At 52.1% G+C, this 21494-nt stretch overlaps 1 protein-coding gene across 12 annotated transcripts in view, besides 4 other annotated features; it reads left to right on the plus strand.

Moving 5' to 3' along the window:
- ANKS1A (ankyrin repeat and sterile alpha motif domain containing 1A) overlaps positions 1-21494 on the plus strand; it is a 208736-nt gene that overhangs the window by 160596 nt on the left and 26646 nt on the right. For all 12 annotated transcript variants that reach the window (XM_011514431.4, XM_011514434.4, XM_011514432.4 and 9 more), the window contains 2 exons: positions 4249-4315; positions 10297-10403. In XM_011514431.4, the coding sequence (XP_011512733.1) occupies positions 4249-4315; positions 10297-10403 (174 nt within the window). The remainder of the gene's footprint in view (positions 1-4248; positions 4316-10296; positions 10404-21494) is intronic.
- Positions 8076-8595: an enhancer, noted in NCBI's record as "H3K4me1 hESC enhancer chr6:35025703-35026222 (GRCh37/hg19 assembly coordinates)". NCBI's record gives its function as "activates a minimal SCP1, AML or CMV promoter by ChIP-STARR-seq in naive H9 embryonic stem cells {active_cell/tissue: H9 hESC(naive)}" and the evidence as "EXISTENCE:reporter gene assay evidence [ECO:0000049][PMID:30033119]".
- Positions 9634-10151: an enhancer, noted in NCBI's record as "H3K4me1 hESC enhancer chr6:35027261-35027778 (GRCh37/hg19 assembly coordinates)". NCBI's record gives its function as "activates a minimal SCP1, AML or CMV promoter by ChIP-STARR-seq in naive H9 embryonic stem cells {active_cell/tissue: H9 hESC(naive)}" and the evidence as "EXISTENCE:reporter gene assay evidence [ECO:0000049][PMID:30033119]".
- Positions 18422-19085: an enhancer, noted in NCBI's record as "H3K27ac-H3K4me1 hESC enhancer chr6:35036049-35036712 (GRCh37/hg19 assembly coordinates)". NCBI's record gives its function as "activates a minimal SCP1, AML or CMV promoter by ChIP-STARR-seq in primed H9 embryonic stem cells {active_cell/tissue: H9 hESC(primed)}" and the evidence as "EXISTENCE:reporter gene assay evidence [ECO:0000049][PMID:30033119]".
- Positions 20281-20782: an enhancer, noted in NCBI's record as "NANOG hESC enhancer chr6:35037908-35038409 (GRCh37/hg19 assembly coordinates)". NCBI's record gives its function as "activates a minimal SCP1, AML or CMV promoter by ChIP-STARR-seq in primed H9 embryonic stem cells {active_cell/tissue: H9 hESC(primed)}" and the evidence as "EXISTENCE:reporter gene assay evidence [ECO:0000049][PMID:30033119]".

Raw genomic sequence — 21494 nt, forward strand, 5'->3', positions numbered from 1 at the left:
ACTGCCTCCTGAAAGGGAGCCAAGTTACACCAAAGCTTGAGGTCCGCCTGTGCCCAACACACTTCCTGGCACACAGAAGACCCATCAAAACTCTTTCTTTCCCCTCCTTCAACTCCCAGTATTTATTAAAAAGCTAGTTGTCATCTGCGTGGCTCTGCCGCCTGGTGATGGGGGATGGAGACCTCTCCATACAGAGCTCCACCTCCCATCCCCACCCCGTGGGCAGCCAGAATCCTGCGGTCTAAACAAGCAGATGTCAGATGGCCTGAGCAGCAGTATCTCCAGTGTTTGTTTTTGTTCTTGTTTTCAGCCATATGGGGAATACATTTTACACAGCCCTGGCAGGGAAAAATAGTCTAAACAGAGTCGTCCTGAAAACTTTTTGAAAATGGAGTATTTCCAAGCATTTTTTGAAGACAAGAGTCCATTATGGTGATAACTTTCAAGTCCTTATATTAACAAACACGAGTATAAGTTTTCAGTCAGTTCACGTGAAGTGCACTAATAAGGAAGCATGGCCATTTCTCATCTCTCTCCAAAAATGTCACTCATCCAAAACCACAGAAAAAGAGGAGAACACTAAATGGTGCCCGTCCATTACACTTAACCTGCCTCTTCCCCTGAAATGCAGACCATTTCTGGGAAAGCTGCCTGTTCAGATTTTTTTTTAACTTAAAGCTAGGAGGTTAAACTGCATGAAGTGTATAGATCAGAATGATATCTGCTGTGTCTGAACGCTCTTCTTTGTGTAGATTGAAATGATCTTATTTCCTCTCTGCTGGTTCTGGGCATGAGGGTGAGTCTGAGGCAAGGAGAGAAGATGAGCTCCGGCTTCTCCCCATCTGCACAGCTCAGGCTGAGGGCTTGGGCAGACCACAGCTCCAGACACTCTGTGGTGCCAGGGTGGGGACCTGCCAATCTCTGCCCAAACAGGACCTCTTCGCTGCCATGTCCCTCCTGGCCCTGAGCTTCCACCAAGACAGGTTCCAGTTGCTGAGGAAGGAGTCCAGGGTTACAGGCTGTGAGTCCATTGCCGAGGACCCTGAGTTTTTCTGGAACTAGAACCAGCTCAGCTTGACTTAGCCATGGCAGTTCACAGAACAATAGAACAACTTCCTAGCCTGGGCAAAATCGTCCTGAGAGCATCCATTAGCATTTCCCAGCCGGTCTGCAGTCTGGAACACCTCACATGGATACCCGGGTTTCTGGGTCAGGCACCTGTAACCCCAGTGCTTTGGGAGGCTGACGCGGGAGGATCCCCTGAGCCCAGGAGTTCAAGGTTTCAGTGAGCCATGATTGCGCCACTGCACTCCAGCCTGGGTGACAGAGCAAGACCATGTCTCAAAGAAAAAAAAAAGAAAAGAAAAGAAACCTGGGCTTCTGCTGGCCTATGTCAGTTGACTAGTGGGTGACTCCTGGGGCAAGCAGGAAAGAGCAGAGCGGAGAAGCAGCGAGGGTGCTCAACTCTGTTCACTCTGATGCCAAAAGGCCCTTCGGCAAAATTTCACAAATTGTACCACCAACGGATGCTGATTGGACAGGCCAGCTGGGGCTTCGGATGTTAAGTGATTATGGTGATAATGAAATATATAATATGACTTTATTTCAGAGGATACCCTGGAGTCACCCCACCATTTCAGCCCTTTCCTTCCCCAGCACGCTGCATGGCCGTGGAGAACAGCTTTTCCAGTGCAGACTCTAAAGAAATGGAAACTACACTTTGGTTCATTCACAGATTCATTCAATAGGTTCTCTATTTACCATGTGCCAGGCCCAGCGGGTGACAAGGCAAATAAAATACGCTTGATGCCAACCCTCATTGGTGTCTACAGTGTTAAGCTCTGCGTGTGAGTAGAATAGAATGCGGAGAGGCAACTGGGAGATGGGTAAGGGAGACTTTTCTCTGAATAACATTTTGTATCTTTTGAATTTTGAATCATGTGAATGTATCAAAAAATAAGTGTAAGTAAAAATATTTTTACAACTTTAAAAATAGGTTTTACTGGACTGGAGCACTCAGAGGACAACAGAGCGGAAGTGGAAAGCAAACTAACCTTTTATTGAGCATTTACTGTGAGCTAGACCTTCAGCCAGGTGCTTTATGTACATGATATCTTTTAATCCACACAACCCTGGACAAAGGCAGTATCATCCTCATTTTTATCCATTTTAAATGGAAGCTTGCCAGGTATGGTGGCTCACACCTGTAGTCCCAGCACTTTGGGAGGCCAAGGCAGGAAGATCACTTGAGCCCAGGAGTTTGAAACCAGCCCAGGCAACATAGTGAGACCTTATCTCTACAAAAAAGAAAAAATAGCCAGGTACAGTGGCTCATGCCTATGATCCTAGCACTCTGGGAGGCCAAAGTGCACAGATCACTTGAGTCCAACAGTTTGAGACCAGCCTGGACAACATGATGAAACCCCGCCTTTACAAAAAATAACAAAAAAATTAGCCGGCTGTGGTGTTGCACGCCTGTAGTCCCAGCTACTAGGGAGGCTGAGGTGGGTGGATCACTTGGGCTCAGGAGGTCAAGGTTGCAGTGAGCCGTGATCACACCACTGCACTCCAGCCTGGGCAACAGAGCAAGACCCTGCCTCCAAAAAAAATAAAAATTAAAAAAAATAGCAAGGCATGGTGGCACCTACCTGTCGTCGTCGTCTTAGCTATTCAGGAGTCTTAGCTATTCAGTGGGAGGATCACTTGAGTCCAGGAGTTTGAGAGCAGCCTGGACAACATAACAAGACCTCTTCTCTGTTAAAAAAAAAAAAAAAAAAAAAAAGAATAATAAAAATAAAAATAAATGGAAGCTTTGGGAGGTCTGGGGAGTTTCCCTTGTATCATGCTGCCCCTGCTGAAGGAGGCAGCACTTGAAACAGACATGGCCAGAGAAAGAGATGGGGGTGGAGGGAGGCGTTTTCTTCAAGGGGCAGAGCCAGCCTGCTCTGACACTATCCTTCCTCCCTGTGCCTCTGGGCTGCTGGGGCCAGTGTTTAGAGACACACCCTCAGTTTGCTGCAGGGGTCAGATTCGTTTCCCTCTGCCTTGCTGAGCTCAGGGAAGGAGCTTGCAGTCTGGTTAACAGGCAGTCAGATGACAGCCTGAGCCAGCAGTCGATTCTGTGGCTGGAGGAAGATACCTCCCCGAGCCCCCAGCTGCCCAAGGAGAGATGGCGCTTGCTCTGTGCTCTTCTGCTGGGTGTCAGATGCACGGCTTTGTCTGCCAGCTGAAGGCTGGCTGGAGAATTGTTTTTCCAATTGTCTGACCCAGGCTCCTTACTTGCACTTAGAGGAAAAAGCATCCAAGCCCTGGTACAAAAGGTCCTCTTTTCATTCCTTTGGAAAAAGAGCAGTGAATGAGCTCATTATCACTGCAACCCAAAAAGGAGGAGGAGGGGAAGAAGAGAAGGTGGCTGCTCCCCACTGCCTAGTTCTGCCCCTGGCCAGGTTTCCTGGGGAAGGGGGCCTGGATCTGGCCCATAGTGGCCAAGGCCAGATGGCTGGGACAGGTGGTCCATACTGGGGGCAGCGCTGGAGCCATTGGATGCTTTGAAACTAGCTTTCTCTGCTGTGGTCCAGAAGAGGGACAGGTGTCTGTGCCCCGTCTCATCTCCTGAACGCAGAGCTCTATCCAGGACTGCTGGACTCCAAGAAGCAAAAGGCCTTCCATTTGGGCCTAAGTGCCTGCCTCACCTTTCCTTCCCAGAGGTTTCTGTATGCAGGCGCTCTAGAAATCATCCTCACTCCCCAGAGCTTGTGGTCATACAGTATCAGTTATCTGTTGAATGCTTATGATTTGCCAGGCACTACCCTAGGCACTCAGGGTAGCATGGAACAAAGCCGGCAAAGTCTTCACTCTCATGGAATTGAAATTCTAGCGTGAGCAATGAGATGGCCAGGTCTGGCCTGTGATTGCAGCCTCTCCCCAGTCTCTGCTGGTCTGGGAGAACTGCTGGGGAGTGACATAGAGATGCCTTGAAAGGGAGGCTCTTCAGTATTTCTAGCAGCTAAGCCCAGACTGTCACCATCTCACTCCCTTCAGAGCAGTACATCGGACCCTGTGGGCTGGGGCCAGAGAAGGCCTCTCTTAGACCTGAGCAGCAGAGTCCTGATACCTTGCAGGCTGGTGCTGGTCCTGGGAAGCATCTGAAAGAGACCTGGAGGTCAGACCCCACTGGCGCTGTGGTGAGCTGGTAAGGTTTACCCCAAGCCTGACTGCCTCTCCTCTTTGTTCTTTCTTCCATTTCAGATTGAGAAAATCATGAGTTCTATTGGAGAAGGGATTGACTTTTCTCAGGAACGGCAGAAGATCTCAGGTACCGTACTAAGTGGCCATTTTCCCCACAGAAACTGGCAGTCTGGCTCTTTTCTGGCTCAGGCTTTCCTCTAACACAGAAGACAGACATTCAGTGGGTGGGAGAGGTCAGCTTCAGACCACGTCATGCTCCTATAATTCAGTCTCCAATACCTAGACAGCCCCATCTTGCTGTTATTTTTAGAGCCATGACTCCTTTTACATATGGGAGGGGAAAAGGGACAAAATGAATTTTAAGCTGCCTATTGGGAAAAATTTTTAGATCAACAATCGTAACTTATTCATTATTTTATGGGCTTTCTTAGATGGGCTTAAATCAGAGTGCACCTCAGCGTTGGTCTCTGCAGCTTCCAAGATGGCTCTCAAGAGTCTCATCCGTGATGGTGGCGGAGCACTGGGTTAGACCAGGGGTCTCAGACTCGTAGCATGCATGTGAATTGCCTGGGAGGGTTGACTGTGCTGTTTCCTCTTCCCACAGCTCCTTGTGCCTGACTCAGTTTACTTCATCACTTACCATTCTTACACTGTATCACTGCTACTTTGGTCATTCTTTTCTAAGCCCTAGTAGTGAGGCCAGCTTCTGTTCTCTTTGTTTGAAACAGGGAATGGGGAGGCCATCTGAGCTGTTTTATCTGATGATAGGATTGTGCTGTGTTGCTTTCTCAGGCGAGATGCTCTTAAAGATGCCTCTCAGAGCAGATCTCACACCTCTCCCCCAAGCATCCAAAGATGGTCTGGGCACTGGGGCATCCAGGCTGAAAGCAGCCCAGCTGGGAGCCTGGCCTGTCTTCACCTTCATGGAAATGCCTCTCTGCCCTGAAGGGGTGGAAATTCTTGCTCACTCAGGAGGCTCCATCCAGGATTGACCTGTCAGTCTCAAGTGACACCTCTAGTTCCTCCATGGGCTTCTGTGGCCCTGGGCAGGAAGTCTGATGGGTGGGCTTGAGTGTGCACATCAGGGAGAAAGGAACATCAGAGACCACGGGGCCTGGTGGGGACGGGCTGGGCTCTGGAGCCTCACAGCCCTGGGTTGAAATCTTGGCTCTAGAGACATATGTGTCTTGGCAAGTCACTTAATGTCTCTGCACCCCTCACCCCATATCTGCAACCTTTGGATAATAGTGTCAACCTCACAGGCTTGCTGTGAATAAGTAGTAGATAAAAAAAAATTTTTTTTTTTTTTGAGACGGAGTCTCACTCTGTCACCCAGGCTGGAGAGCAATGACGTAATCTTGGCTCATTGTAACCTCCGCCTCCTGGGTTCAAGCGTTTCTCCTGCCTCAGCCTCCTGAGTAGCTGGGATTACAGGCATGTAACACCACGCCTGGCTGATTTTTGTATTTTTAGTAGAGATGGGGTTTCACCATGTTGGTCAGGCTGGTCTTGAACTCCTGACCTCGTGATCCGCCTGCGTTGGCCTTCCAAAGTGTTGGGATTACAGGTGTCAGCCACCACACCCGGCCCTGTGTTCCTTTTGTCCATGAAATCATTACTTACTCATATCGAGAAACCTAGAGAACAGAGGCTTCTGCTCACTGGCCGTGGCTCCCTCCACAGTTTTCAGTCCTGGTTCCCAGAGCCACCATCGCTCCAGCAGCAATGTTTCCCTGGGTGCTAGCAGAGAGGGCTGAGCTGAGCTTGGTCCGTTTTCGTCAGTCTTGGATTATGCTGGAGTCTGCAGAGGTGGCTTTCCTGGCTAAATTTGTGGATCTGTTTTCAGGATCTGTTGCTTACACTCAGTCAAGCCATCTCACACTCTGTTGTAGCTTGCAAGCTTTTCCAAGGGTCAAGTGTTTGCGGGAAATGGATGTTCAGGACTGAGACAAACACTGTTACCATTTTCAAAGCTGTGCTTTGACCACAGGGATGGGAGGGATAGCAGTCAGTTCCATTGAGGATGGTTTCTGCTTTCTGTGTCCAAGGAGCAGGAGCCAAAATCACTTGCATATGCTTGAGAGCTGTGAGTCAGAAACAGCCATTGCCTCTTGGATTTGATAAGTCGGGAGATGTGGCAGCACCTCGGGAAGAGCCCTCCCCTTGGAAGGGTTAATGCTGAGCTCTTCCCGTGACATCTGGTCTCCTGTCTGATCCCACCTACTAGTTTTTTGTTTGTTTGTTTTATTTTTGTTGTTGTTGTTGTTTGAGACGGAGTCTCGCTCTTTCGCCCAGGCTGGAGTGCAGCGCGGTGATCTCCACTCACTGCAAGCTCCGCCTCCCGGGTTCACACCATTCTCTTGCCTCAGCCTCCCGAGTAGCTGGGACTACAGGCGCCCGCCACCACGCCCGGCTAATTTTTTGTATTTTTAGTAGAGACAGGGTTTCACCGTGTTAGCCAGGATGGTCTCGATCTCCTGACCTCCTGATCCACCCTCCTCGGCCTCCCAAAGTGCTGGGATTACAGGCGTGAGCCACGATGCCTGGCCCCACCTACCAGTTTTTGTCCCCCGTGAACCCATATGAGTGTTGAGAGGCAGTCTGTCTCTACCCTTGGGTTTTTGGATCCCAGCACACAGTCTTGTTTTAGTACTCATTTTCTTGAACCATCCTCTATAGTCCAGCTTGGGAAAGTCAAGAACAGGCACATGTGGGGGACCACCTAAACAGCGGGTTCATCCACCCGGGCTGCAGAGCCCCAGGCTGCTGTGTCTGCACCACTGCCAGGTGCTGAAGCGTGGAGAGGATGGGCTCAGGCCTGCCCATGAACCCTGTCTGATGGGTCAGGAGGGGGCTTTCCCCAGGATCTCAGGGAGTACTGTCTTCAGCTTGGACCAAAATGGAATCACTGTTTATTTTGACTGGTCAGTATCAGGGTTCAGATTGTCCTTGGGTTGGGCGTCAGGATCAGGGAGAAAAGATCTGGGCTCTGGGGTTAGTCTGGGTAGAGGAGGAGCAGGCCCTCCAGCAGGCAGCCCTGCACCAAGTGTGGGATTGCCCAGCACCACTGGTTTTGCAGAGGCGCCCGCACCCCCCAGCCGAAGGGCACGACCACAGCATTGGAGTCTCAGTTCTGTTTTTAGGGCCACAGGCCCCTGGGCTGCCACCACTGGAGCTAGTTAGCTGAATCGCCAACAGAAGCGTTTACAGCTAACTCATCCCTGTGCCAACTCCCATTCTCAGGAGTCCAGGAGGGTATGCCTTCCCACTGGCCCAGGCCACTCTGGCTCTGTCAACAAAGGCCTTCTCCGTCAAGCAGAAGGGAACTTGCTTGGCTGTCTTCTGATAAAGCCAGCCATGTTAGGTATTGAGTAGCTGGTCAAGCAGGATCCTTCTGGGGCCTGATGAGAACCCTCTCTTTTCCAGGGCTCATCTACAGCCTATTGGGATACCAGTATCTCCCAGCATATTTAGAGGGTAATGTGTCCAGGGCATATTTAGAAGCCCTGGACTTCTGTCCCTGTACCTGTTTTATCTTTTTGGCCTGTCTCCATCTGTACTTGGGATTTGGCCCTGGTTTCCCCCTTGCCCTTGGCCATCGCTGTCCTCCCCCAGAGTGTGAGTGGCCTGCTCTGGGGTGGGGCACTTCCCCTGGGCTCTAACAGGCCCCAAGAGAAGTCCGTCCCCAATTTGTTTGGTATACTCACCTAAGGAACATCAAGTGTAACGGCCTTATTTCATTGCCTGTTTTTATAAGAAGCACAGTCATTCGTAAAGTGGCAAGTAGGGGGGTCACTTACCTGTGGGCTATGCCCTTTGGGTCTGGTCATTCCTGTGTCCTCTCCTGGCTGTCCTGGAAACTGTCGAACAAAGCTCTAGGAGCAGTCCCTCTCTATTCTTCCTGACAAGCTGTTTCCAGCCCCTGGAGCTAGAGGTAAAGTTTCATATCTCCGCCCTTCATATGCATTTGTGCAGCCAACATCGGCTATTGGGAAATCTGTCATTTCGCTCTGATGCTAGTGCTGCTGTCTCCTTCTCCCTCAGCAGCCACAGCAGCAGTTGCTTCTGCTCCGATGTGATGTCCGATCCCTGATGTATTTTCCTGAGCTTGGAAGGGGGAGGGTGAGGAGGGGAGGAAGGGGAGGGCCAGACATTACGAGAGTGAGCAAGGACTGTGGAGCCAGCAGCAGGCAGCGTGGAGCCCAGGAGCCTTTAGACAAAGCATTCTGCTGCGGCTCTGTCAGCGCGCACATCCACCGGCAGCAGGCAGGACCACAGCTGCCCGGCTGGGGGATTACAAGCAAGAATGAATCAGCACCCGGGGACACTTGACTTCATGGGCATAGAAGAACCTGCCACGTAGGCTCCTGGAGCAGACTTCCCCATTCAAGGGCAGGGGAGCTCAAGTATCCCCCAGACTCGGCATCTTGGAGCGCTGCGGCAGCGTGCATCCAGAAGGCCGCCGGGTCCCTGACCATCATCTGTTCTGCAGGAGACAGAGGAGAGGGAGTGGAGGCTGGCAGAGTTGGTCACCAGGGTCTTGTAGATAACCAAGGAAGTTGGCATTGTCCTGCCCCAAGGGGCAGAAAGTACCTGGGAACGGCAGAATGACTTTCACCGTGTCAGGAGTTCACTGGAGGTGATGTGTTTATAGTTGGTTCTTCCTTTTCCTTCCTTGTACCTCTTTTTCCTCCTTTTCACTTTTTTCTTTCTTTCATCTGTTCTTGCCCACAAGAATCAGAGAAGTAGGTTGGGGTTCAGGCATCCAGCTCAGAACATCCAAGGTCTGCCAGAAAGGGCTGAACTTCTGTCCTCCCTGCACCACCAAAATCCCCATGCTGATCGAGGAGCAAATAGATGTCCTCCCTTCCCTGCTCATCCTTAGAGGAGAACGCCAAGATCCAGAGACCCTGGGACGACTGTGGCTGTCTTTATCACTCAGCCAAAGAGAGAACAGCGCAGGACGTGAATAGACTTAAGCCGCCACAGCTCAGCTGACAGAGGACCACTTCCTTTTTCTCTCTTTTATCTGGTTGGGTTTTGTCTTCTTTACCCAAGAACTGAATTTGCCTGCCTGCTTTCTACCTGAGCAGGCAGGTGAGTCACTGGAACAGCTGTTATCAGAAGAGGAAAATGAATGCCCAGCCCCTGAAAACCAGCCTGGCCCAAGAAGGCAACACTTCAGACGGCGTGCTGGCCCAGGAGACGCCCTGCTTGCCAGCTGCCAGAGTCTAGCTGTGGATCGGGCTCCTGGCCCACTGGCCGCGCAGCCCGGCGGAATGCGATGCTGCCGTCCCAGCAGAGCCACACCTGAGCCTGACCCCCGAGCCCCGGCCCATGTGCCCCATTCAGCCCCTTGCTGCCTTGAGCCTCTGAGCACAAAGGGCCGGTGGCCATGGTTTGCTTATTCCGGGACTGCTGGGGGAAAACAAGTAAAAGTCTCTTTTCTCCCCCTGCCGTGTTCTGTGCTGCTTGTGTTGCATGTGCTGGGTCCCGGTGAACAGCCGCCGCTGCTGCTTCCCTCCCGGAGCCCTCGCTGTGTGCCTGTGTCCCTCAGCTGCATGAAGATGTGTGCTCTCTCCTGACTGGTTTATGCTGCAAGGTCGCAGAACTTGCCCCTCGCCACGGCCCCACAGGGGCTCCAGAAGTTGCATGGATGAGAGGAGCGGCGGGGCTTGTGGGCACTTAGGAGCTCCCTCAGCCCCCTCTAGTGCCTGTGGGGACAGACTTTCTGAAATATCTTCAGCACGCACGCTGATGAGGAGTTGACCTGGAGACTGTTGGGATTTGGCTTCCCCCACCCCCGACCTGTGGGCAGAGATCATGCATGTGCAGCCGTGGCCCTGGAGCAGCTCAGACCTGGGGGTGTGAGTGGGCAGCAGCCGCCCGAGGCTGGGCAGTGTGTGGACAGCACCAGGTGGTCCTGTCCTTGGCTGTACACAGAAGAGGAGCTGCGTGTCTGCTGCTCTCTGGTCTCTTGTATATAGTTTGGCTGTTTGATGGTAATGACTATGATGTGGCAATGCCATCTATCTTCCTCTGAGTGCCGCTGCTACCGCCTTAATGGTTTTTCCCTTTTCAAGCGTCTGCCGATTCCTCTCTCATCAGGTTTACGGACGCTGGAGCAGAGTGTCGGGGAGTGGCTGGAGTCGATTGGGCTGCAGCAGTATGAGAGCAAGTTGCTTCTGAATGGCTTTGACGATGTCCACTTCCTGGTAAGTGGCTGCAGGCCTCCTCAATGGCAGGGTGCTGCTCAGTGGAAACAGGCCTCCCTGGCCTCCCCTCTGGCCCCACAGGAGTCTGCAACAGTACGTAGACCCAAATCCCAGGGAAAGCTCACTGAGGTCACTCAGACACCAGGAAGTCAGCCAGGTGGTATGTGCCTTCTTCCCAAACTGTCCCTCTCCCTCTGCCCCAGAAACGGCTCCAGAGGGAGCTCTCTTTGCAGATCTGCTTCCCAAGAAGGAGGGTCCCTGATTCAGCCCTGTGTCCCCTCCCTGGCTGTGTATCCCATCAAGGCTGGGTACGAGGAGTTTTATTTATTTCTCAAAACTTGGTGTCAAGTGAGTTGTCACTGAAGCAAGGAGCCTTGCCTCCAGCAGAAAGACCCCTTCCCTGCCCAGCCAAGGCCCAGTGCCTGGGGTAGAGTCCAGAGTTACACAGCCTTATATACCCGTGGCCTCAGAGATGGCCCAGAGGAAAGGCTGAGTTGATGGCCTGGAGGATTGGTTGCTTCTTTGAGAAGCTCTCTCACAAAACACAAAGGGCCAAAAATAAAAAGAGAAACCAGGGTGTTTCCTCTGGATCCCTGCAGAATAGGGACCCATTTAGGACCCTGGGCTCAGGATCTGGTGCACACTCTGTCATTTCAGAAAGTAGCTCTGATCAGGGTACCTGTCACTGTCCCTCTCTTGGAAGCCCTTCTAGAGGCATCTGCATGCGCCGGGCCTGCTTCCAGGAGCAGGCATTTGAGCCAAAGTTAGTGATCATGGTCGCTGACACTTCTCACTAGCGCTTACTGTGTGCTTGGCGCCGTTCTTAGTGGTTTGCGTGAATTAGCTCATTGAATCTTCCCAGCAGCCCTGGGATGTGGACTCGTATTAATCCATTGCCCAGATGAAGGAAATGAGGTAGGTCCCTTGCTCAGGGTCACACTGTCAGTCATTGGCAGGGTGGAAATGTGTGTCCAGTGCTCTGGATCTGGAGATCAGGCTCCAGCCACTCTGCTGCACAGCCTCTTTCTTCTCTGTGGATACAGGGATGGGGGCGTGGCCACCTATGTGCTTTATGTCACCTTCTAGCCTGAGTCATCTTGGTTTGAGTTAGACCCACCCGCTCCGAGGGGATCTCTCTCACCTGTGCCCGCCTTGCTCCGCTGCCTCAGTTGAGGGCTGGGGTCAGAGTCAGCATGCAGCTCGCACCACCTGCACTCTGTTCTCTAATGGGGGCTTCTGAGGGTTTCTCGCTGATCGGGTTGTGTTTGGTGCCTCCTGAATAGTGGCCTGCCCAGGGAGCTGGCCTGAGGCTTCCAGGAGGGACCCACCTCACCCAGAGCCATCTCCAACTCCAGGGCAAAAGATACTGTGGTGTGCAACAATGCACCCTTTCCAAGCCAGCTTTGGGACAGTTAATTTTCAGCTTTTAGAAATCTTAAGTTTTAAAATAGCAATTTTTTTTCTTTTTAAAAGTTAAACTGAATGTATTTATGGTTCTTATGACCTAACTCCTGACTCACCACGTTCCTCGGGGAAGGATGACAAACTCGGGGTGGAGAGGGGGCTCAGGCAATGCGTGGGGACCCAGGTTGGCCCCTGGCTCGGAGTGTTGAGGGGCCTTCCTTCTCTCAACTCACCCCTTCCTCAGGCTGGCCGTCAGATGGGCAAGTGAGGGTGGTCTTAGGGTGTTCCCTCCCTGTACTTCAAGATGCTAGAGGCTGAGCTGTTGCTTCCCACCTCTCCTTCTGCTGATTTTGGAAAGAACAGGATTCCTACCCCTCAAATAGCCCGAGACTCCGTAGGACTGGAGCAGAGAGCAGCTGAGCAGGCCTTTGGAGAAGTGTGGCCTTGGGCCAAAGCTTCATGCACAGGGCAGGGCCTCTGTAAGATGCGTCTGTTCCTATGCTAGAAGGACCCTCATTGAGGGCGGCCTGCAGCTCAGTCCTTCCAGGGGCTCTCAGTGCTGGCAGGTGGAGTCTATACAAGAAGGAACGTCGAGCACCCCTCGGGTGAGCCGGGACCTCAGATACCTAGAGTGGCCTGCTGTGCACAGCATCCTGGGTAACCACGTGTGAATGGCCAGGTGGGCTGTCAGGCAAATTATGTTTTAACAGCCTAAAAAAAGAAGGCAACTTGGGAAGGGGAGCGTTTCTGTTATTGAAATATTCCCTCATTGCATGTGGATAACTTACATTGCATTAGCTACAGTGGATCCCATGTGGTTAGGTTTCCAATAGGCTACAATGTTTCCCTTGGTTCTGAAATGCCCTGGAGACTCTTCTACAAGATGCAGAAGTAGCTTCCAGGAAGCCAGGCTGGACATGTCTGAGGAGCGTCTGGAAACTGAGGCTGTTTGACAGTCATGGTGTTGCTGTGGGATCTCCCTGTGATAGGGCCCTGCGAGTTGTCATAGGAGAAGTACAGGGCATTTGTGCACATCACACAGCTCCCTCTCAGAGTGGAAGGGACTGTAACGCCATGTGGTCTGATCGCCCTCTCTGCCCGAATCCCTTCCAAGTAGTCTCTGCCATGATGGTTTTTTAGTGACAAGGAATTCACTACCTTGTAAGGAGGTTACCCATTCATTCTTTGCATTGTACTGGCTGATGTAGAGCATTCTTTATATTGAGTCAAAATCTGTTTCCTGTGGCTTCTGTCTCTTGGTCCCAGGTTTACGTTTTGGGACCACACAGAACATGTTTAAGCCCTTCAGAAAATTGAAGACCTCTGCCCCAGGCTCCAGGTGCCATGCCCTCTTATTCTCCTCTTGTGATGTGGTGATTGAGCTGGACAGGCAGGCAACTTGAACTTTATCCACACTGTCTTGCTTACAGACAGAAAGGGCCTTTGATTTAGAGGGGCAGGGCCAGGGCAGTGGGGGCTGCCAGGTGCTCCCTAGGATGGTGGAACTGACACCAGACGCAGGGAGAGAGGGAAACGTGGCTCACACATCTGCCAGCCAGCCAGCCCACGAGCCCACCACACTGCACCTGCATCGTAGCTGGTTCCATTTTCACCACAAATCTTATCCACAGGAAATGGGCTTTCTTAGGAGAAGGGAGGAAATGCATTTAATCAGCACGGAAGGAAGGTAATTGGTGGTTGGCAAATTTGTAGCTCCGGGCGTGCTAGCGCAGGTCTGATGCCCTTCACTCAGCCTGACGCCCTTCACAGAAGTGTTGATTGAATAAACGATGGTGGTCCTGATGCTGGAGTGCTAAGTAGATATTTAAAAAACCACATTTTTGAAGAATTGCTAATGTGGGGAATGTCCCCCTTGTAGTGCTGAGTGAAGAAACTGACACAGAAATTCACAATATGATCTTAATTTCTGAAAAAGAAAACATGTATGCATAGGAGGTGCAAGGGAGTGAGCCAAGATGTTTTCAGTGGCTATCTCAGGAGGACTCCGGGGGCTTCATTTTCCTCTTTGGAGTGTAATCGTTTTTCTCCATTTCCCACCATGAATAGATGTGAAATCAGAAAAGCAAATAACGTAGGTGTCTTAAGGAACTTGATGGTCCAGCTGGGAAAACAAAGCACATAAAAGAGCAGCCAGTGTCAAGTGCAGCGGAGGCTGGCAAGCACCGCCAGCAGAGGAGGAGGCCTGGATGGCAGAGATGCTGCTGCTGCCCAAGTGGCAGAGCCAAGTCCAACCTCGAACCTCTGGGTTCTGCTGTCTGTCCCAGGGGTTTCGTAGAGATGGTGGGACTTGGAAAGATCACAGAGACAGGAAAGGCCTGCTGAGAGGGGCCAACCTGTCTCTGGTGAGGGAGGAGGCTGCTGGGGGGCAGTGACGGGCAGGGCCCTGACCAGGCGGGAGAGATGGCTGGGCCTGACCTCAGGGCTCTCGAAAGCCACGTGTGGGAGAGTCCCAAGGTCTCTGAGCCCTGGGCATGGGGGGATGGTCTCTGCTAGTGCCCCACACCAGGCAAAAAGCCCCTTGAGTGAGGCATACCTTAGACATCCAGGGCACAGCTGAGAGCCCACGTGTGGCAGGCAGTCATGGCTCGGGGCAGTGGACAAATGGAAGATGGAAATGAGGCTGGCAGCAGGCTCAGGAAGGGTTAGAAATGGATACTGAGTCGGCCAGGCCGGATGGGAGGCCGCCTGCTCCTCCCGTCAATTTCTTTCTCTGCAGGCTCCTGCTACGTGGCAGATAGGCCCCCGCTGTCTTCCTGTGTGTTTCTGAGGTGGTGCCAGCTTGTTCCTACGTGTTGGAGAGAAATGACAGATAAAGAGAGGCCAAAGGCATAAGCTGGGGCCAAGAGGTTCTTCTACTGGCTTCTTTGAAACTTTCCAACCAGGTCCCCAAGCCCCTGAGGCTCCCTTCCTGTTCCTGTCCCCTGGATTTGCTCCTCACTCTCCAGCCCTCTAAACCAGCTTCACGTGAACAGTGGGGCTTGTCATCACCTCCTATGACATCCCTCCTTTTGCCTTCTTCTGCCCCAGGCCCAAGAGGCCACTGCCAGCCTAAGCGAGCTGCCACTGGGCACCATTATCAGAATGGTCATGGCCAAGAGGCCCTCTCCCCAGCCCCCACCTCCACCCCCGTCCCATCTCCCTGCACAGCACTCCATGAGCTGACTGCTGTCTTGGAGTTTTCTGCCCAGTTGAAGCAGAGCCTTAAACAGGAGGATCAGTGGAGCTGAGGCTTGGAAAGGAAAGGAATCCTCTTAGACAAGTGTGGATCCAGCCTCCTGGACTAGCTAAATTCTGTAGTCACTTAAGAATGTAATTCCTCGGTATCCCAGGAGGAAGAATGTAATTCCTTGCTATCCAAGGAGGAAGAATGTAATTCCTCGCTATCCCAGGAGTTGATGCTGCACCAGGGCCTCACCATCTCTGCCAGACTCTCCCTTGGTCTCGGGAGCCTGACCAAGGGCAGCCCTTTTAGCAAGTGAGACAAGGGACAGGCTCATTTGGGGCCTATTTCCAGCGAGTGCACCTCTTGCCCCCCCTCCCTTTCACTGCCTGACTGCAGCGCAGGCATTCCAGGTGACCAGCTGGAATCACTCAGGAGCCCTCCTCTGACTGCCCCAGGTACTGCTCTGGCCTTCTCCAGTCCCCTTTACAGTAGAAGGAACTCTGGGAACATTCTGAATGCCTGTTTTCATGCCTGCTAATTTGACCAACTGCTCTTTAAAGTGGAGTTGGACTGGCTGACAGATCCTCTTCCGTCGCTCCTGATTGCTGGCCTCGTTGTGAGCAGCAGCAGAGGCGTCTTTCCTGGCACCTCGAATGTCTAGGTACTCACTCAGCCAAACCCCGCATTGCGGGCTCTCAGTACGGTAATGTGCCCACTGTCACCCCTCAGGTGGCGTGGAGCTGGGACTGGCAGCCACGTCCCTGGACCTGGAGTGGTGCTTCCACCTCCCAATCTTCCCTTCCCAGGAAGATGCAGCCCCTGGGGCTCATGCTCATGTGCCCTCACAAGGTTGGAGCCTGGCACTGGGGCCCATCAGGCTGGGTGAGTGCATCACCCCTGGGCTGGTCCAGGTCAGACGTCCACCCACTGCATGTTGGGAGCCATTCAACCATAGGCTGAGAAAGGAGCTGGCAAGGAATGAGATGCAGTTCGGCTCTGTGCACTGGCTCAGGCCCCCCAGGTTCTTCTGGGCCTGTGCAGCCACCACCACTGCCTGGCCCGTTGCTTCTACCCGCCTCCTCCCCACCCTGCTCTCTATGAAGCTCCGGGTTAGTTAAGTAAACTGGATGGGGGAAGCTCAGGAGAACTCAAGAGTCTACTTAGTGGCAAAGGGAACTGGACCAGGAGTCAGGAGAGCTGGGTTCCCCTCCAGGTCCCCGCCCTGTGTGACTTTCGGCAGGTTACCCTTCCTCCCTGTTCGTCGTCTGTCACGCGGGCCTTCATTTGACCTACTTACTTCATGAGGCATAAACTCCGAAGAGGACACAGTGTTATGTGTGGTGACATCGTGTCAGAGAGCAAAACCGCATGTAAGGACGCAAGGTGGGAAGGTGGTGTTTTTCTGAAAAAGGCAGTGGGCAGCAGTCTTTCTCTGCAGGCTGCAGAGGTTGGTTTTGTCTCAGTCTTGTCCTCAGATCCATGAGTTAAAGCTGCTTTGGGTGGTCTTGGGACCAAGCCTCTGACTCCAGACTCACTTGGTCCCAGCAGATCTACACGGCTGATTTGGGGGTGACTGTGGCACCTTGACCTCAGCCAAGACCTCAAAGAGGAAGGTGTTTCAGGATGGCAGGCAGGAGATGAGTGGGAAGGCTGCCATGTCTGCCCACAGAGAGAATGGGGGCACCAAGGACCTGCTTGGGAGAACAGGGGTCAGAGTGGGGGGGTGCTTTCATGAAACTGGGAAGAGTTTCCCAAACCCATGTGCTGTCATATCCATCCTTGAGAGCCCTTCCCATGACGTGACAGATAACAAGGGCCTCAGAAGTCACCTGCAGAGGCCTTAGGAACTGGTAACACTTGACTCTTCCTGGTGGCTGTCACCACTGAGTTTTATCCCTTGAGGTGAGGCCAGGGGTGGCTGGGGTATGGGATAGGAAAGCAGAGAGCTGTGGGTGGGTCAGGCCAAGTGGTTCCTGCTCCTTCTGCCAGCTGTTAGTTGAGGGTAGGATGTCAATGTGGGGCTACTTTGGGAAATTCTGTTGCAGAGTCCTGGCAGAGCAGATGAACAAAACAGCCACTGAGCGCCTGATTCCTGCCCTCAGGCTGATGCTGGGTAGCAAACCCTGTGAGGCAGGCGGTTCCACTCTTGTTTAGCAGGTCCTGCTTTCTTAAGAACCTTGAGCAGCTGAACCGGGATTGGAACCCCTTTCTACCACAGCTGCTTTGCATAGTAGCTGGTACTGGGAAAGCCCTCGCCCCAGGTGGGTGACTGCACGCAGGCCTCAGGGAGCATGGCTTCTATTTCCCATCATTATTAAGAATTGGGGCCATAGTGGTGAGTATTAGAGAGCCCTGTCCCCTCCTCTTTGCTTTCTGTCCCCTCTCCCGATGGTTCTTCCTGCCCCCACCCCCGGGCCAGCCCCACAGCAGATGCCCTGGGACTGGGAGGAAACATGTGCTCCCCCTCCTCTCTGGGCCCATGCACCATGGCCATTATAGCCCCAGCCTCAGAAGTTGGTCCTGGCTGAGACCAGAAACCTGTTGTGTGTTTAGTCACCTGCACCCCAGACGAACGTGCTGAGTAACATGTTCTGGGGACTGCATAAACCACCTGTAGTAGCGGCCGGCCAGCATTAGCAAAGGCCGGAGAAGCCCGAGTGCCCAGTGGCAGGGTGAGTGACGGGCGTGCTTGAGTTGGTGCCGTCGCCACAGGTGTTGATAAATACAGTGAAATGTCATGGGGGATATTCACATGCAGTAGATGGGCATGTTAAAAGAGGCAGGTTAAAGAAACAGGTGGCAAGTGGTGGGGAAAAAAAAGAAAAACTGTCTGCATTCAGCCTATAATCCCAATTTTGCTGAAGTTTTTTTTCCTAATATATAGCTCAGAAAAATACACCAAAATGGTAGAAGTGATCCCAATCTTCCTTTTTTAAGAAAATTAATTAACTTAGGAAGATAACACCGAACAGTGGCCTTATGTTTCCCCCTGAGGTGATAGACTTATGGGTAGCTTTTACATTTTTCTTTGTACTTCATTTTCAATTTTTTTTTTTTTTTTTTTTTGAGACGGAGTTTCGCCCTTTCCCCCAGGCTGGAGTGCAGTGGCGAAATCTCGGCTCACTGCAACCTCTGCTCCGCCCCCAGTTCAAGCGATTTCTCCTGCCTCGGCCTCCTGTGTAGCTGGAATTACTGGCGGGCACTACCACAGCCAGCTAATTTTTGTATTTTTAGTAGAGATGTAGTTTCACCATGTTGGCCAGGCTGGTCTTGAACTCCTGACCTCAGGTGATCCACTCGCCTCAGCCTCCCAAAGTGCTAAGATTACAGGCGTGAGCCACCGCACCTGGCCTATTTTCAAATTTTTCTACTAATAAACTTGTATTATTCAAGAAACTCAAAAGAATCTTTTAGTGTAGGGAAGAGGTCGAGGGCCAGGAGAAATCCATCACGTTCTTAGAGACAGCGTCAGTGTCACAGTGTCACGGTGAACCAGCCTGTGCCTGGGGAAGCTCTGGGGTGGGGAGGAGCAGGCAGGGAAGAGGGCAGGGCCAGCCATGCCTCCCACATCTGCCCGGGGTTTGTTACTAAGCTTTGGCAGCTCCTCTCCCAGAATAGGCAGGCCCCAAAACTCAATCCAGCAAGGGTGTGGCTTTGTCCCCGCACTCAGCTCTTCCTACCCTCCCTACTCTTGGTTAGCGGAATCTGCCCTTGTGGCCTAATTTGCAATTTCTCGTGTGTCCAGGTTCTCCCCGCCACATACCCCCTCTCCCCTCTTAGGAGGGTCCCTTCCCACAGTGCCCTGATCCCTGAGTCTGAGAAAGGGAATGGGTGGTGAAGGGGAGAGGCTGGAGGGCTGCAGGGAGAAGCACCTTGTAAGTCCAGGATCATAGCTCTGTCTCGTTTCTTCTCTTGCAAGAGAGGAGAGTTCAGCCTTGAGTTTCCTGTGACTGATGGGGCAGTCAGGGGAACTGGCAAAGTGACCGTCTGAGAAGAGACAGGCAGACTGAACATGGAAAGGAGGGTGGAGGGGGCTGCCGGCCGAGTGTAAAGTCTGGAGCTAGAGTCCAGGCTGGCGCAGCTCTGGCCCCAAGAATCAGAATCTAGTGGCCTTGGTTTGGGTGAACGTCCAATGCAAGAGAGGGCTGACGTCTGGCCATTGGTGGGCCCAGGACTGCCCCTCCACACCATGGCCCATGGATTTCATCACAAGACTCAAGCCTTCCTTCCCTGGGCTCTCCAGGACAGAGTGGGGCAGGTGATAGGGTGGTCCCAGGCCTTTCCCACTGGTTCAAGGTCGGTAAGCCCTGGGCCCTCTGCCTTTTCCCAGGCTCCCTCTGGAGACCCAAGAGTGGGAAGAGTGACATCCCCCACACACTAGGCTTTCTGATTGTGGTTATGAATGAAGCCTGCTTTCCCAAACTGCTTTTTATCTGCTGGACCCCCCTCCTGCAGTCCCCCAACCCCCACCATTGTCCCTTGTCCCTGCCCCATCCACAGGCCTCAGCATGTGGGCTCTGGGTCAGGCTCTCAGCTCCAGCCACAGTCTGCTTGGTGACTTTAGCAAAGTAACTTAGGTCTCTTGGTATTCTCCTCCGTCAAATGGGGCTTTCACCCCTGTCTACAGTGGAGCTATTTAGAGGATTAAATGAGATTAGTGCAAGGCACTTAGCTAGTGCCTAGAACACAGAGGGCTGACAATAATTTTTTTTCTTTTAAGATAGGGTCTCTCTCTGTTGCCCAGGCTGGAGTGCAGTGGCGCAGTCACAGCTCACTGCAGCCCTGACCCCCCAGGCTCAAGTGATCCTCCCATCTAAGTCTCCCAAATAGCTGGAACTACAGGTACACACCACCCTACCTGGCTAATATATATATATTTTTTTTTTTAAGAGACTGGGTGTCAGTCCGGGTGTGGTGGCTCATGCCTGTAATCCCAGCACTTTGGGAGGCCGAGGTGGGTGGATCACCTGAGGTCAGGAGTTCAAGACCAGCCTGACCAACAATGGCGAAACCCAGTCTCTGCTAAAAATAGAAAATTAGCTGGGTTTGGTGGCACATGCCTGTAATCCCAGCTACTTGGGAGGCTGAGGCAGGAGAATCGCTTGAACCTGGGAGGTGGAAGTTGCGGTGAGCCAAGATTGTGCCATTGCACTCCAGCCTGGGTGACAGAGCAAGACTCTGTCAAAAAAAAAAAAAAAAAAAGAGACTGGGTGTCTCACAATGTTGCTCAGGCTGGTCTCAAACTCCTGGGCCCAGGAGGCAGTCCTCCCAAAGTGTTGGGATTATAGGCATTGAACCATTGCACCTGGCCCTACAGGGGCATCAATAGTTGTCACCTGTGTTTAGACTATGACTGGTATTGGTGGCAGTGTCGTCATTTTCAGCTCTTGCAGTCTGGTGCCTCTCTGCTGGGTCTTCCACCAACTCTTTCCCAGCTTAACCCCCATCTTCCTAGAAAGCCTCCTTTCCCATCTCACCCCTTCCCTTTCCAGGTCTTTTTCCGATCCTGAAGAGACTAGCTGAGAGTCTAGCACCTCTCAAAGGTCTGAATAGAAAACACTTACCATCTATTGCCTCTAAGGGTGAATCACCTAGGACACCTAATCTACATAATAGGAACCTTGGTCCCCACAAGCCTTTATCTTTTTTTTTTTTTTTTTTTTTTTTTGAGACAGTCTCACTCTGTTGCCCAGGCTAGAGTACAGTGGTACAACCTCGGCTCACTGCAAGCTCTGCCTCCCAGGTTCATGCCATTCTTCTGCCTCAGCCGCCCGAGTAGCTGGGACTACAGGTGTCTGCCACCACGCTAATTTTTTGTATTTTTACTAGAGATGGTTTTTCACCGTGTTAGCCTGGATGGTCTCAATCTCCTGACCTCGTGATCTGCCTGCCTCGGCCTCCCAAAGTGCTGGGATTACAGGCGTGAGCCACCGTGCACAGCCCACAAGCCTTTATCTTAACCCAGACACCCCTTTCTTTTTTCTTTGTGTGTGTGTGTGTGTGTGCGCGCCAAAGATTTATTTCTTCATTTCTTGCATTTGAAGGACTCTTCGATGACATCCTTGGCCTGAGACTCCTTGCCATAGTCCTTAACTACTACACAACTGCAACCAACCACTTTCCAGGGTTTCCCCTCTCTGTCTATTTTACAGAGGCCTGCCCATTCCCCTAGTTTCTTGTTGTCATCAACCTTACTTAGGTTGATTTGCCAGACACCTCTTTCTATTGACTCCAGGCCTTTAGATAAACTCTTTCAACTAGTTGCCAATCAGAAAATCTTTGAATCCACTTGTGACCTGTAAGGCCACCACCCCCAAACTTCAGCTTTGAGTTGTCCCTCCTTTCCAGACTGAACCAGTGCATACCTCACATATATCGCTTGATGTCTTGTGTCTCCCTAAAATGTATGAAATCAAAGGGAAGGGAATCCTCTATAGAATGTAAATTTCCCCCACAAGAGGCAGCTTTGCAGGGCCATTTCAAAATATGCTAAAGAAATATAT

Source organism: Homo sapiens, chromosome 6 (assembly GCF_000001405.40).
Source record: "Homo sapiens chromosome 6, GRCh38.p14 Primary Assembly".
Classification (NCBI taxonomy): domain Eukaryota; kingdom Metazoa; phylum Chordata; class Mammalia; order Primates; family Hominidae; genus Homo; species Homo sapiens.